The sequence below is a fragment of the Homo sapiens genome, chromosome 5, assembly GCF_000001405.40.
Source record: "Homo sapiens chromosome 5, GRCh38.p14 Primary Assembly".
NCBI lineage: Eukaryota > Metazoa > Chordata > Mammalia > Primates > Hominidae > Homo > Homo sapiens.
The window spans coordinates 169,674,200-169,689,604 of NC_000005.10; the positions used below are offsets into that span (position 1 = coordinate 169,674,200).

The window sequence follows — 15,405 nt, forward strand, 5'->3', positions numbered from 1 at the left end:
GCCCTTGACCACACTCACCTGACTTTGGCACAGCCTGCCAAATAGATGGTCATGCCCCTTTAACACAGGTAATTATGGGTTGTTTCTTGTCTCCTAGGCCAGCAAAAAGGAGCGTTTTCTCCAGGTGCAGTCCATGATGTACGATCTGATGGAGTGGAGGTCCCAGCTTCTCTCAGGAACCTTACCCAAGGATGAGCTGAAGGAACTGAAGCAGAAAGTCACGTCCAAAATTGACTATGGCAACAAGTAACCTCTCTTTCCTCTGCAAAGAGGTTTTCTTCCCCCAGCCATCCTCTTTCTTCCCTCTCTCCCCAGAAGCTTGTTTTCATTTTTAGATGCAATTTTGTCACTTTCTGTTTGGGAGAAGGTTGTGACCAATGGCTGTGCTTGCGTGCCGTTGTTACCACCCCTGGGGGACCTAGGGACATGCAGGTGGAGAGAAGGCTTGTACTTAACATGGTGTTATTACCAGGCTGAGAGATTTAGGACACTCATTTAACCTACTTCCGATGGACTAGGGAGCATAGTCATGCTGGTTCACTTTCAGCTTAGTTGTCATTTTATACCTGCATTTGCAAAACTCTCCCTTAAATCCCAATGTGAGACTTAATGTCTCTTCCCCCATCCTAAAGTAGCCAACCCACACACCATCAACTAACTCAAATGCACAATTACAAAAATGTTTCCTCAAAAGGGAAGAGAAGTAAAAATTGGTTGGATTTGAATGCTATGAAGTTAAGGAGAAAATGAACCAATTATTTGAGGTGGGACAACCCACTGATAATAACATTATAAGTAACTCTTAATCAGAGCTCATTGTACACCAGGCTTGGTGCTAAGTGTTTTGCAGGCATTGTCTCATTTAATTCTTATAATAACTCTATGGAGTATGCAGTTTGATTATCCCCACTTTTTTCCGATAAAGAAACCGAGGGTTTTCAGTAGGGTAGGTAACTTGTCCAGAGTCGCGCAGCTAGTAAATGACAGAATCTGAACTTAGACCCAGGCAGTCTGGCTCCAGGGTCCACCTGGAGTCCAGGGCCTCCTGGAGTGGAGTCCAGGGCCTCACCACTCTGCTACTTGGATAGCATTTGAGAACTATAAGGACCTTCCCTCCCTCCTGATCTTTTGAATGGCTTCCAAACATTCTGTTCATTTGTTCATTCATTCCTACCACAAACATGTATTGAGGACTTATAGTTGGCTGGATTTCCTGCTAGGTATTGGGGCTGTAGAAATAAAAGTCCCTGTCCACTAAAGGGTCACAGTTCCAATTAGGAGTAAGCCACAAGTAAACTGCTGATATGTACTGTGAGAAGTTCGATAGCTCAGGAAGCAAGAGTTACTTTTAATGAGCCTTAGAGAAGGAAGTCAAGGAAGACTTCCTGAAGGAGGCGACCCCTGAGCTGAAGTTTGAAGGATAAAGAGATATTAAGCAGGCTAAAAAAGGAGAGTCAGGGGCTCATGAGAGAGCATGGCATACTCAAGGAACTGCAAAGTGGGTCTGAAGGCTGGAACACAGGGCCTGAGGGGGAAGTAAAAAGCCCATTTAATGGGAATAAAAAGAAGTTTCCCCAGCAGCCAGGCCAGGCTTTCTTGCCCTGACATAAGCACTAGGGGGAGGATTCGGAGAGGAAAGTCAATGGCTCCAACTCACAGCTGGTCTCCATCCCAGGAACACAGTCCCTCTGCTGATGCCCCATTGGCATCTGGCAAGCGTGTCCAAATCTGCTTATAAAGCACATCATCCTAAAGTGACAGGAAGGGTTTGCCCCGCAGCTGCTACTGCCGTTGGTTCCATGATGTCTTTAGCTGAGCACAGTTGCAGCTGAGTGTGTGGGAATTGAGGGCTGCTTTACAATGACATCTACGACCTTCAAATGTTGTTTTCTCAATGGGGGCTCCTGAGAAGAAGGACCAGGAATGGAAGAAGTGGTCACTACTCATAGGAAGCCTTCCCTGATTTTCCACTACCCGCCTTGGCCCGGGGTAGGTGCTCTTGAAGGCCCTGAGTAGTAATTGCCTCCTTTTTGGCCTGGCTTCCCTCCTATTGTGGAAGATCCTATAGATGTTGACTGTCTAAAGCACCTCTCTGCCTGTGCCTGGAACAAGGTCTGCACATAGTAGGTTCTCAGTGAGTGACAACTGAGTGAGTGGGCGAATGGTGGTGATGGGAGAAAAAGAAGAAAGAGGGTCCTCCCTAAACCAGCCCCTCCTCTGCAGCATCCTCTGACCTATAGCCCTGTGCTTTTAGTTCTGTCAGTTTCCTTTGGGGAAGTGAGGGATGCTCCGTGGCACAGACTGAGACCTCAAGCTCAGGGGCCCCCTTATTCACCTGACTGCTTCAGCTGCAAGCGAGAGAGTTGGGCAACTTATCACTGGCCTGATAGTTTAGGTGCTCAGAGCTCTGGTATGGGATGGGCAGCTTCCTCAAATCCAGGAGGCCCAGCGTCTGGGCCAAGTGTCAGGATCAGCCTGGGAACACCCACCTCCAACTTCCAGCAGCTGGGAGATTGGGTGGGGGTGGCACAAAGTGGAACTGAACCTTGGAGGAGTGATCAGAATGAGCTTGTTTCTTCTCTCATTCATTCCGTTCCTTCATTCAGATATCAAACTTTCTTTGCACACCTGGTAGGCCCCAAGGGTACAGGGTACAGACACATACACAATACAGTCTCTGTTTTTAACAACAATCAAAAAGCAAGCAATGAGAACCAGTGATAACTTCTGAAGCGCTCACTGTACACCAGGCACCATTTAAAGCACTTTCCATATATTAACTCTGTGAAGTATCAAAACAACTTTATGAGGTAGGCACTATTCTCACCCTGTTTCTCAGGTGAGGAAAGTGAGGCTCAAGAGTGATTAGGTGTGTGAGCTGAGAAACCAACACAGGTGCCTCTTTATCAACTAAGATGGACTCTAAGGTTAAGGAAACAACAGCTGCCTATGGGTCAGGTTGAGCATTCAGGGGAGCTGGCATGGCAACTCCCTAAATTCCTACAGCTACAAGAAAAACACACTCTTGTCAAACTCCCTAACAATAGGAGCTATCAGGCAAATTATCAGACCCTTCCTAACTCTGATTTACATCCACACCACTATAACTCTAAGTGGACAGAGGACTGGCCTGCTAAACATTCTTTTTTTTGATAAAGAACTGCAAATCTTAAGTCAGTTTCAGCTAGCTGAAGGCTGCCCGCAAACTGTGTCCAGTAGTTCACCTTTTGATGTAAAGTGCCAAGTTTCATCTTATTTTAATAATAAACCCCACCCCAAAGTGTACATGGGATGTATGTTACATACATGTTTACCCGTTGTGCATGCTCTTGTCTCCATAAATATGTATGATTTTTCCCCTAAACCTGCTGAATATGTATGATGTTGGCCCTGTGAGGCATAAAACCCAACATGTCCTTTCCGTCTTCAAAGAGAGAGCACCTTCCAGACATGACAGAGACTGTCTCTTCAAAGTTTGCAAACCGATGTAACCAGTGAGGTTCTCCTTTTGTAATGAAGTGCAGGCTCTGCTGCTCGCTGCTTGCAAAGCCAGTAACGGGGACACAGGGCATTGTAAGGAAAGTGACTTTATTTCCGAAGCCAGCCATGGGGAAACATACAGGCTCACCCCTCTGGAAACCACTTCAAAACTCTGGGCTGAGGGCAGGGGTTTCAAAAAGGGAAGCTGGATGTGGGAGGCATGCAGGAGCTGTGTAGGGTGCAGGGGCTGTGTGTTTTGCCCTGATGCCAGTCTTGAGTTATGGTCCACCTGGAGCACAGACTGGTGCCATCTTGACAGTGGCCAGGCTGTAGATGATCCATCTTGAGGCAGTCTTTAAGTGGGGGAGAATTCTGTAGCTGCGCTCTCATGCCTGGTTTGTTTTAAATTAGCCCCTGGAATTTCTTAACAAGCACAGAGTTAAGTAAATGTGCATGGAGTAAGAGAGTATATGTTAGAAGACGGAAGGGAATGGAGCTTCAAAGTATGTTTCAAGGGTATACTTAAGACTAAGGAAAAAAAAAGGCTTCTATAGTTTTTCTCAAGGTTACATCTTCAGTCTTGAGAAAAGTTTTTGTTTTTTTTTTTCTTTTTTGAGACAGAGTCTCGATCTGTCACCCAGGCTAGAGTGCAGAGTGCACTGCAACATCCGCCTCCCAGGTTCAAGTGATTCTCCTGCCTCAGTCTCCCAAGTAGCTGGGACTATAGGCACACGTCACCATGCCAGGCTAATTTTTGTATTTTTAGTAGAGACGGGGTTTCACCAGTCTCTACCAGGCTGGTCTTGAACTCCTGACCTTGTGATCCACCTGCCTTGGCCTGCAAAAGTGCTGGGATTACAGTCATAAGCCACCGAGCCTGGCCAAGAAAAAAGTTTTAAAATGCATTTTGAAGCTGAGATCCTCGGTTACACTTTCTACTATTTGGCCATCCTGGTGGTCTTTTGAACGGCAGGTGATTTTGCTCAAGATGCAGTGGAATTTGAACTGATAATGTGGCTCCAGAGTTCAAGTGCTTGACTGCTGTATTCTACTGCCTTCCATGAGCTGTGTGAGTTAATAAGGGAGGCAGAGAAGTAAACAGCCACTTTCAGTCGGAAGTCATATACATTAGGAGTGCAGGAAGCATGGGCAAGAAGGTTGGAGGACATGGGGGTGGGAGTCAGGGTGGGGATGACAACCACTCTGAATCTAACTAGACCAGCAGGAATTATTAGGTGAAATGGAGAAGAGAAACTCGGAGGGAGAGAATGTGGGAGATGAGAGGTTGACATGACCACGGAGAGGAAGACATGGGTGGACTGGGGCTGGAACCTTGAGGATTTTAGCACCAACTGAGTCTGGATTTGTCCAGACAGCAATGGGGAGCCATCACAGATTTTTAGGCTGGCATATGCAGTGGTGCAGTCACAGCTCACTACAGTCTCCTTCTCCTGGGGTCAAGTGATCCTCCCACCTCAGCCTCCCGAGGAGCTGGAACTACAGGTGCGTGCCACCATGCCCAGCTGATTTTACCTTTTTTAAAAATTTTATTATAAATAAATGCATACAGTGGGGCCTTTTCCCTCTACCCTCATCTTGGCTTCATTTTATCACTTCCTTGAACAGAAGAGAGCACTGGGGTTACATCCTGATGAGAGAATGCCTAAATGTTCTGCTCCCCAAAATTCATGGTGGCTGCATTCAGAGGCTGTGGAGGACAGCCTCTCCTGCCCCTGGGCCATGAGAGTCCTGTCAATCCTACCAAAGCTCCCAAAGTTCCAAGTGATTTTGATGTCCAAGGATTGAGGAATCCTCAAATGACTTCTTCACATCCCAAGATAGCCAGACCTAGGAGAATGTTTTATTCATGTATTTTAGAACCGAATCCACTTTGATAAATTTTGAGGAGAAACAGCCAGAGAGATCTTGGCATTAAATTATGTATCAGCGATGCTCCATCTTTTCCAAGGTCAGGAGAGCCTCTGCTAAGCATTAGCTGAATGTGTTTCTTCCCCCTTAGCATTGCCGTTGGGCAGCATGGCCGTGTACCATTATGAGTCATGTTAAGTTGGGAGTTAATTTCCTAATGAATGTGGACAAATGGGTGAACCTTGGCTCGCTTCTGACTGCATTTGGATGAGATGAGAGATGCGCCTCTCAATTCGATTCTCTGATAGAGATGAAGACTTAGTTTCCTTCATTTGTCCTTGCTACCCTTCCAGAATCTGGTACTTAGTAGTCGCAACCAAGCAGGAGTATGGTTGGCCTTCTCAGAATCCATCAGCCCCACCTCCTCCTACCTTCTTTGTATGGACAACTGAGGCTCTTCATCTCAATATCAAGTGCAAAAGCAGTTTCAAGTTCAAGGTTTCTGCAAACACACCCTACCCCACTCCACAACCCATATACTGCTCCTAAGCTCCTCCTATCTATTATAGTAAGCATACCAGAGAGGTTATGAGTGTGGACAAAGATGTATTCTTAGTTTTTACTAGCTATATGACCTTGAGCAATTAGTCCTCATATCCTCAGTCTTTTCTTCATTTGTAAAATGGGGTTATTGATAGTACCTCCTTCATAGGGTTGTTATGAGAATTAAATGGATTAATTTTATGTAAAACACTTATTGTATGTGAGCTGATTGTAAGTGCTGTGTGAGTTTGCTGCTATTAGTATCACTGATGCCGATCAGGATGACAGGTGTAGTTGAAACAAATCAATACCAAACAGGGAAAAGCTTGTGGCCTGGAAGTCAAATAGCTGAAAGCAAGCTGTGGGTAACAGTCAACATGTCTGAGATTGTTTTTCCCCAACCACTATTTTCAAATTTTTATTGAGTAATATATAAATACCTCCTCTGTGTATATATTTAAAAAGAGGCTAGGTACGGTAGTAGCTGGGCATGGTGGCATGTGCCTGTAGTCCCAGCTGCTCAGGAGGCTGAGGTGGGAGGATTGCTTGAGCCCAAGAGTTCAAGGCTGTGGGAAGCTATGATCACACCACTGTACCCCAGCCTGGAAGACAGAGCAAGACCCTGACTCATTAAAAAAAAAATTAAATAAATTGAGACAAGGCACATGTAACCTTTGACCCCTTTACTCCTCCAGCCCTAGGCCCCTACCTGTCCCCACAGATAACCTGTGTTGGTAGTTTGGTCCTTTTTTCATTCAGAGCTTTCTCTCATACATAAGCTTATTCTTATACATGAACCCAGATAACATATCTGGCCTATTTTTTGTTTATTTGTTTTATTGTTATTTATTTATAAAAATAAATATTGTATGCACACTGTATGCATCTTTCCATGCTTGATTTTTGCACTGAAATATATTATTAAACATAGCAAAACTATATAATATTTTAAAAGGTCTGCTATGTGGTATTCCATTATAGATAGATCACTGTTGATTTAGCCATTTCTCTTTTAGTAGACCTTTTTTTTTTTTTTTTTTTTTTTTTTCTGAGATGGAGTCTCGCTCTGTCACCGAGGCTGGAGTGCAGTGGTGCAATCTCGGCTCGCTGCAACTTCCGCCTCCCAGGTTCAAGAAATTCTCCTGTCTCAGCCTCCCGAGTAGCTGGGATTACAGGAGCTCACCACCATGCCTGGCTAATTTTTGTATTTTTAGTAGAGACAGGGTTTCACCATCTTGGCCAGGCTAGTCTTGAACTCCTGACCTCAGGTGATCCACCCACCTCGGCCTCCCAAAGTGCTGGGATTACAGGCGTGAGTCACCGTACCCAGCTAACATTTTTTTTTTTTTTCAATACTTGCTGATGTGAACAAGTCTGCAACACATCCTAGTTCAAGTGTTGGGTGTTTCAGTTTAATACCATGGAAAATACACCTTTTTAAAAAATTGAATGCACACTACTACAGTACCTTCTAAAGGGGGTCTACTATACCAATATGTGCTCACTAGCAGTGTCCCAGGCTATCAGTGTAGAGCTCTTCTATGTGACTATATGACCCCCAGAAATCAGCTGAACTTTCTGGTAAAAAGCTTCTCACCAGTGACCTAAAGTTCTCCCCTGATTTGTCTTCACCTCCAGTTTTTGCTTTACAGAATCCTTGAGCTTGATTTGATTGTCAGAGATGAAGACGGAAATATCTTGGACCCTGATAATACCAGTGTCATCAGCTTGTTCCATGCACATGAGGAAGCAACTGATAAAATCACAGAGCGTATCAAAGAAGAAATGGTGAGCTTTACTAAATAGGCTTTGGCCAAGTGATACAATCATTTAGCACATCATAAACTTAAAATAATGGGCTAATGAACCAGACTGTGTATTATTCAAGGGGCATCTGTCTATGACCTGAGATGATCAGCAACCACATGTGTTTAACTGTGGTTTCGTACTCAAATCTGTAATTCATTCAACATCCATCTCACAGGTAGTTAAATGGCAGGCAAGTTTCTTGATCTCTTGGAGCTTGTAGATTCCAGAAGGGGAAAAGAAGAAAGGCGATAACAAAGTAAATAAATAAGTGAAAATATTAATTCCAGATGAGTGTATAAAAGGCAATGAACCAGGGTTATGTGAATCAAAGTGACTCAGGAGCTATGTTAAAAGGCACTGCCAGGAGAGGCTTCTCTCAAGAGTGACATTTGAGCTGACACCTGAATCATGTGAGGGCACCAGGCCTGGGATGATCTGGGACAGGGTGTTCCAGGCAGAGGGCACAGCAGGTGCAAAGGCCCTGAGGTAGGACTGCATTCTGACTATTCAAGGAGTAGGAAAGCCAAACAAGGATGAGGTGTGGTGAACACCAGGGGAGTTTAGGCAATGATTTGCAGAGGCCGGGTAGGTGGAGACAGATCTCAAAGGGCCTGAGGGGTTTTGGAAAAGAGTTGTGATGTTATTCCCACGGATGGGAAATCAGTGAGAGATTTCAAGGAAAGGTTAACAGTCTGACTTTTATTTAAAAAAATTATTTTAGCTACTCTGTGTTATTTGAAAGCAATTTTGTTTTTAGATTTATTAAGATATAATTTTCATATAGTACATTTCACTCATTTTAAATTACTCTTTAATGAATCGTAATAATATATTGTGTTGGATAAACATCGTGACAATCAAGATAAAGAACACTTCCATCACCCTAAAAGTTTCTTTGTGCTCCTTCTCCAGCCCCAAGCCCCGTGCAACCCCTAATTTCCTGTCACTGTAGATTTGCCTTTTCTAGAGTTTCATATAAGTGGAATCGTGCAGTATTAATTTTCTGTTTGACTTTTACTCAGCAAGATGTTTTTGAGGTTTATGTTGTTGTGCATATTAACATTTTGGTCCTTTTTATTACTGAGTCAGTATACCACTGGCCAGTTACCAATGGTATATAGCATTGACCAATTATTGGGCATTTGGGTAAGTTTTCAGTTCAGAGCTATTATACTAATGCAACTATGAACATTTGGAAACAAATCCTTGTGCGGACATGTTTTAATTCCTTTTGGGCAATACTTAGCAGTGGGATTGCTGGATCATGTGATAAGTGTATATATAACTTTTTAAGGTATTGCCATGCTGTTTCTCAAAATGGCTGTACAATTTTTTTTGTTTTTTTGAGACAGGGTCTCTCACTCTATCACCCAGGCTGGAGTATAATGGTGTGATCATGGCTCACTGTAGCTTCGACCCCCTGGGCTCAGGTGATTGTTCTACCTCAGCCTCCCAAGTAGCTGGGATCACAGGTGCATGCCAACATGCCTGGCTAATTTTTTTTATTTTCTGTAGAGATGGGTTTTCACTATGTTGCCGAGGCTGATCTTGAATTCCTGGGCTCAAATGGTCAGCCCATCTCAGCCTTCCAAAGTGCTGAGATTACAGGTGTGAGCCACCACGCCAGCCTAATTTTGCATTTCTACCAGCAATATATGAGAGCTTTAGTTGCTCTACATCCTCGTCAACACTTGATATCAGACTTTTTAACTTAGCCATTCTAGTGGTTGTGTAGTTGTATCTCATTGTAGTTTTAATTTTCATTTTTTTTGATAAGTAGTAATGTTGAGTATCTCTTTATGTGCTTCCTGTCATTTCCACTTGTATTTTCTCTTGGGAAGTGTCTGGTCAAACATTTTACCCATTTTAATTGGGTTATTTTCCTCATAATTAGTTGTAAGAGTTATTTGTATGTTCTAGATACAAATTCTTTGTCAGATATGTTTTGCAAGTTTCTCCAAATCTGTACCTAGCTGTTGCATCTTTCAAAGAGCAAAAGTTTATAGTTTTGAAAAAATCCATTTAAGCAATATTTTTCTTTTCTAGTTTGTGCTTTTTATGACACTAACTTTATGAAGAAGTCTGGGTCAATGGTGACATTTCCCAAGATAGAAAAATACAGGCCAAGAGAGTCAAAGCGAATTGATTCAGGTTACAGAAGCTTTTGATGGCAGAGCTGGATGGAATGCCCAAACTTTAGGCTTGAACCCAATATCCTTGACTATCTCTCTGTTGCTCTAAGTGGTGCTAGGCTAATTTTCTCCATCTTCTTTCCTTCTTCCTTCTGCCTTTCAGTCAAAAGACCAGCCAGATTATGCAATGTATTCCCGGATCTCCTCATCCCCCACCCATAGCCTCTATGTGTTTGTGAGAAACTTTGTGTGCAGAATTGGGGAAGATGCTGAGCTCTTCATGTCTCTCTACGACCCCAACAAGCAAACGGTCATAAGGTAGGTGTGTCCAGGGTTGCCCTACTTCTCTGACTATGGGAAGCAGTGCACAGAGCATCTTTTCTTTCCATCCTCACTTGTGGAGCAATCTCCACCTGGAAAAGAGACTGCACCTGAGTGAGAATGTGGAAATAACTTCTTTGGAGGTTGTAGGAGTCAAGTGGAAGTGTTATTTACCACCAGTTTTTTCCCACAGTGGAGTTTATGGTTGTAGGGTTTTGTAAAATAGATTTTGATTGCCAGAAAGCAGTCAGAAATAACAAGATTCAGACAAGTAGCATTGGCTAGAATAAAAATATGTACTTCTTTTTTGTTTTGAGACAGGGTCTCACTCTGTTGCCCAGGCTGGAGTGCATGGGTGCAATCACGGCTCGCTGTAGACTTGAACTCCTAGGCTCAAGTGGTTCTCCCACCTCAGCCTCCTGAGTAGCTGGGACTATAGGCATGTGCCACCACACCTGCTTAATTTTTAATTTTTTATAGAGGCAGGGTCTTGCTGCATTGTCCAGTCTGGTGTCGAACTCTTGGCTTCGAGTGATCCTCCCACCTTGGCTTCCCAAAGTGCTGGGATTATAGGGGTGAGCCACTGCTACCTGCCAATATCTACTTTCAAAATAGGAGCTAAGAAATGAATGCTCCAAATCCTCTGTAGCAGCAATAGGCTAAGGGTATAGGCTCTGAGATCTGTCTGGGTTCACATCTAGGCCCCAGCCTTTACTCTTTCTTAACATGGGGCAGGTTGTTAATGTTTCTTAAGCCTGAGTTTCCCATCTGCATAATGCGAGTGCTGACCTCACAGGGTCATTTGCTTCAGGCTTTAATGAGAAAGAGTTTGTGATGCACAAGGCCTGGCACATGTTGCCTGTACTGCAAGGGGCAGTGGTTGTTATTATTACTACTTTAATAAGTTGTTCTTGGGAATGGAGGAAGTGAGGGAACTTCTGGGTGCCTCAGCTCAAGGAAGGGAAAATACTCTTGGGAATCTCCAGGGAAGAGACTTTGCTGCTCCTCCGGCTCCCACTGCCAGACTCCTGGCCTCTACTTGTGGCTTAGACCATCCTTCCTCTCAGGCGACCACTGCCTGTCTCCTCCATTGGGGTTTTAGCCCAAGACATGGTCTCATATTTGAGACCACTGACCGTGACTGCAGGCATGCGCCACCACGCCCGGCTAATTTTTAAGTTTTTGTAGAGGCACACATTAGAAAAGAGCTAGGACATGATCTCTCTGCCTTTGTGGGAAAAATGGATAAAATGATGTCTTCCTGGCTTGTTGTTATGATGATTAAATGAACGAATACACCATGCCTGAGGAATAGTGGTGCTTTAGTAAACAGCGGCCTCCTGGAGACATGCATGAAACTGGAGGGGCTGTCCATCTCAGAAGAATGTGCTGGGGTCTGTACATTGTCTCATCTAATCCTCATGGTTCCGTGTCACTAAGATGAGAAAATGAGGCTCAGGGAAGTCAAGCAACTTGCCCAAAGTCACAAATATTTGTAAACAGCAGAGCTGGGATTTATATACAGGCCCATCTAACTCCAAAGACAAGCTATTTCCCACGTAAGTCTGTCACCAAGGAATGAGTTGTGTCAAATATTCTAAATGGTTTTCACCAGGGTTTCAGCACCATTATGGTGGAAAGGTAATTTTTATTATGCACCAAAGTCCCTAACCTCAAAGAGTCAGCCCAATTCACCTGGCTTAGCCTTGGTGGACCCCGATAATGAGTGTCCCTGGTCCCTTACGCCCACCTTGAAATGGTTTGGGAGTCAGAGGCAGGGGCCCCTTGCTGTTCCCTGTCAGTTACTCCCAAGGTTCCTGAAAGGCTCACTGGCTGCAGTTTCAGGAGCCTTAGAAGCAACCGAGAGGAAACAGTATGGGGCCTATGACACACAGCAGATCTGAAAGTGCTCACTGCCTGCCACATTGACAAGGGAGTGTGGTCGGCTGGCCCCATCTCAGTGATGGATGGCTGGACCAGCTCTGTGGAGGGAGACCATGAATCAGCGAGGTGGCAGCTGTGCTCCCTGCCGTGCCACCTGGCAGGCCATGCTCAATGGGGTGTGCCTGAGTGACATCTCTGAGAGTGCTGGAGACGAGGGCCAGCCCAGGGAGAGTGGGGATGAACAGAGAGAGGAGGACAAAGGGGGCAGAAACCAGCAATTGTGAAAAGAGGAGAAAGCAAAGGAAGAAGAGAAGAGGCACAATGCAGGAAGGAGGGCAGGGGAATCTGGGAACACTCCCAATGTCAGTCTCACTCTGAAGAGCTGCTCTTTCCCTAAGCAAGAAATCTGGGCTCCTGCCTGCTGTAGCCAGGATCGACATACAGTGAACAACAGGCAGGTTAAGACATCTTCAGTGTGGCCCAGATGTGGACTGGGGAGAATATAGCTAGGATCGATGTTTTAATGTTGGACTGAATCACGGTCAGATACCCAGTAGATCCCTGAAGGGATCCTGTTTGGGAAATTTAATGTAAATTTTTACAGGACAAAAGAGAAGCAGTTCAGGTATCAGGCTAGCAGTAAGGCTTATGCCCAAAAATTGTGTGATGAGGAGTTGGAATAGTACTCCTCGTTCCTCTGAGTAGGTTGTCATTTGGAGGAGGTCTTACATGTCTTGGTGCTGTGAGCCTTCAGATTCTACCACCTAGATCTTCCTGGGTGAGGATGGATGGGACCAGCTCAGCCCTCCAAATTGTTTTCCTTATTTATGATTGTGCTTCTCCTGGAAGAAAATTGCTGGTGCTTGCTGTTTAGACGTAGCAAGCTGGGTCACTGAGGGGCTTGCTACATATGATGGAAGGTACTGGAATATATCTAAGCATTTCACTAACAACAGTACAGAAATTACCAATGAGAAAGCATTAAAAATAAAAAAAATTTGCATGGAGACTTCCTAGTTAGTTTACTGCAAACTCCACTACAATTTTTAGATCTTACTGAAAAAAACACAAAAGATGAAAAGATCCACTTAACTTGATTGAGTTTTAAGCATTGGTTAATCTGGGACTGTGTTCATTTTTGCTATTGGCCCCATTGCCTGCTTGAACTCTGCTCAGTCTGCTCTCATTAACCTTTTAGGGGTGACTGGAGAGAGAGGAACGAGGCATCAGAGATAAAACAAGCTCTAAAAGGAAGTCAAGTCCCTTTAATTTTGCTGAATCCCGTTATGCCTTCTTAGGCTAACTTGATTTTTGAATTTTTAAAAAATCTTGTTCCTAATTTAAAATAATGGGCACTTATTTAGCACCAACTATATGCTCCTAAATGGCGTGGAAAATCTGATGACTCAACTCAGCAAACTATATTAAGCTTCTTCTAACTTAAATAAGTGCTAGACCTCTCTATCTTCCTGGAGTGATGGGACTGACCAGCATGACGGCTGCTAGGAGATATGAGATGGCAAAGGATCGTACGTTAGAACCATATAGCTGGTCCTCATAAAACCCTCCAATGGGTTTCCATTACTCTCATCATCAAGGCAAAAATCCTTGAATGGCCTATAAAGCCTATGTGGTCTGGCCTCTCCCTCTAATTTTTCTCTTGTAACTTTCCGTTGAATCTGTTTATTTTTATTTATTTATTTTTTGAGATGGAGTCTCCCTTTTCACCCAGACTGGAGTGCAGTGGCATGACCTCAGCTCACTGCAACCTCCACCTCCCGGGTTCAAGTGATTCTTCTGCCTCAGCCACCCTAGTAGCTGGGACTACAGGCATGTGCCACCATGCCTGGCTAATTTTTTATATTTTTAGTAGAGGCAGGGTTTCACCATGTTGCCCAAGCTGGTCTTGAACTCCTGAACTCAGGTGATCTGCCCACCTTGGCCTTGCAAAGTGCTGGGATTACAGGCATGAGCCACTGTGCCCAGCCCCCTTGAATCTGTTTCCTAGATGCATCCAGCTGTTTCCTGCCTCGTGGCCTTTACTCACGTTGACTTTGCCTGAAGCATTTCCCTTTCCTACCTTCTTTTCTTGACCAACTTTATTTCATGTCATTTCCTCAGCAAAGACTTCCTTGACCACCCACTAGGTCAGGCCCATTTGATACACATTCATACAACATCCTGAACTTTTCCTTTATACAGCCTGACTATTCCTTATTTGAAACGCTTGGGACCAGAATTGTTTTGGATTTCAGATTTTCTCTTGGATTTTGGAATATTTGCATTATATATATCTACCAGTTGAGCATCTCTAATCCCAAAATCTGAAATCTAAAATATTCTGATGAACATTTCCTTTGAGCATCATGTTGACACTTAAAAATTTTCAGGTTTGGGAGCATTTCATATTTGGGATTTTCAGATTAAGGGTGCTTAGCCTGTAGCACAATTTTATATAAATAGTGTTACAATGGCATTTAAACAGTTATTTAATTGTATCTTAGATAATGGCTGAGACCCTATATGACCCATCACTGTATGACATTCCATTCAAGGAAACAGCTCTACATTCAAAGGGTAACTTAAAATAATTCAGATCTTTACTCAGTCTTGAATGGGGAACGGGCCGGAAAGGGTAAATATATTCTTAATGTCCAATAAAATATACTAAAGTCCTTTCCCCTCTCATCTCTGCCATTCTCAATAACCTCTATCAGTATGCAGATGCTCCTCAAAAATATTAGACAGCTGTGCCAGAATTTGCTTAGCAGATGGGAGAGGGATAGTAGTGGCAAATACGCATAGGTTAATAGTTCTTTGCTCTTGCCTGTCTAATGTCTGTCTCCCAACACAACTGTGATCTCTCGGAGGGAAGGACCATGTCTTTCTTAAACACCTGCATACCCCCAGCAGCCAGTATGGTGTTGGGCACATAGTAGATGCTTGGTGAATGTTTTGACTAAATGGATGTCAGGTCCCTTGGCAGTAACGGGCTGCCACTCTTCTTCCCACAGTGAGAACTACCTAGTGCGATGGGGCAGCCGGGGCTTCCCTAAGGAGATTGAGATGCTCAACAATCTGAAGGTGGTCTTCACGGTGAGTGTGCACCCTCTTCTCGTTACCGTGCTCCCCAACCACAAAAATGTGACCTTGGAAATGAGGCTGGTCAGGAGCTCAGGGTGAAGTGTGGCTGTCCTGCAGAGCTGTGTTGTGGGCTCCAAGCAGAAATCCAAAGCTGACAAAGGACATTGTGTGCCTTGAGGAAGCTTTCGGAAAGATGGATGTTCACCTCTGTTTTTCCTCATCTCTCCCTATCCGTCTCACTCCTGCACACACAGAGAACATATGCAGAATGCTACATAAACAA

General features: G+C 44.1%; 1 protein-coding gene across 8 annotated transcripts in view; it reads left to right on the plus strand.

Annotated features, from left to right (window-relative positions):
- The window catches only part of DOCK2 (dedicator of cytokinesis 2), a 446,108-nt gene that overhangs the window by 36,925 nt on the left and 393,778 nt on the right, over positions 1-15,405 (plus strand). For all 8 annotated transcript variants that reach the window (NR_156756.1, NM_004946.3, XM_011534449.3 and 5 more), the window contains exons 6-9: positions 98-246; positions 7,545-7,680; positions 9,997-10,151; positions 15,053-15,134. Coding sequence is in view for 7 of the 8 variants with exons in the window: in NM_004946.3 (NP_004937.1) it covers positions 98-246; positions 7,545-7,680; positions 9,997-10,151; positions 15,053-15,134 (522 nt within the window). In the remaining variant the exon portion in view is untranslated. The remainder of the gene's footprint in view (positions 1-97; positions 247-7,544; positions 7,681-9,996; positions 10,152-15,052; positions 15,135-15,405) is intronic.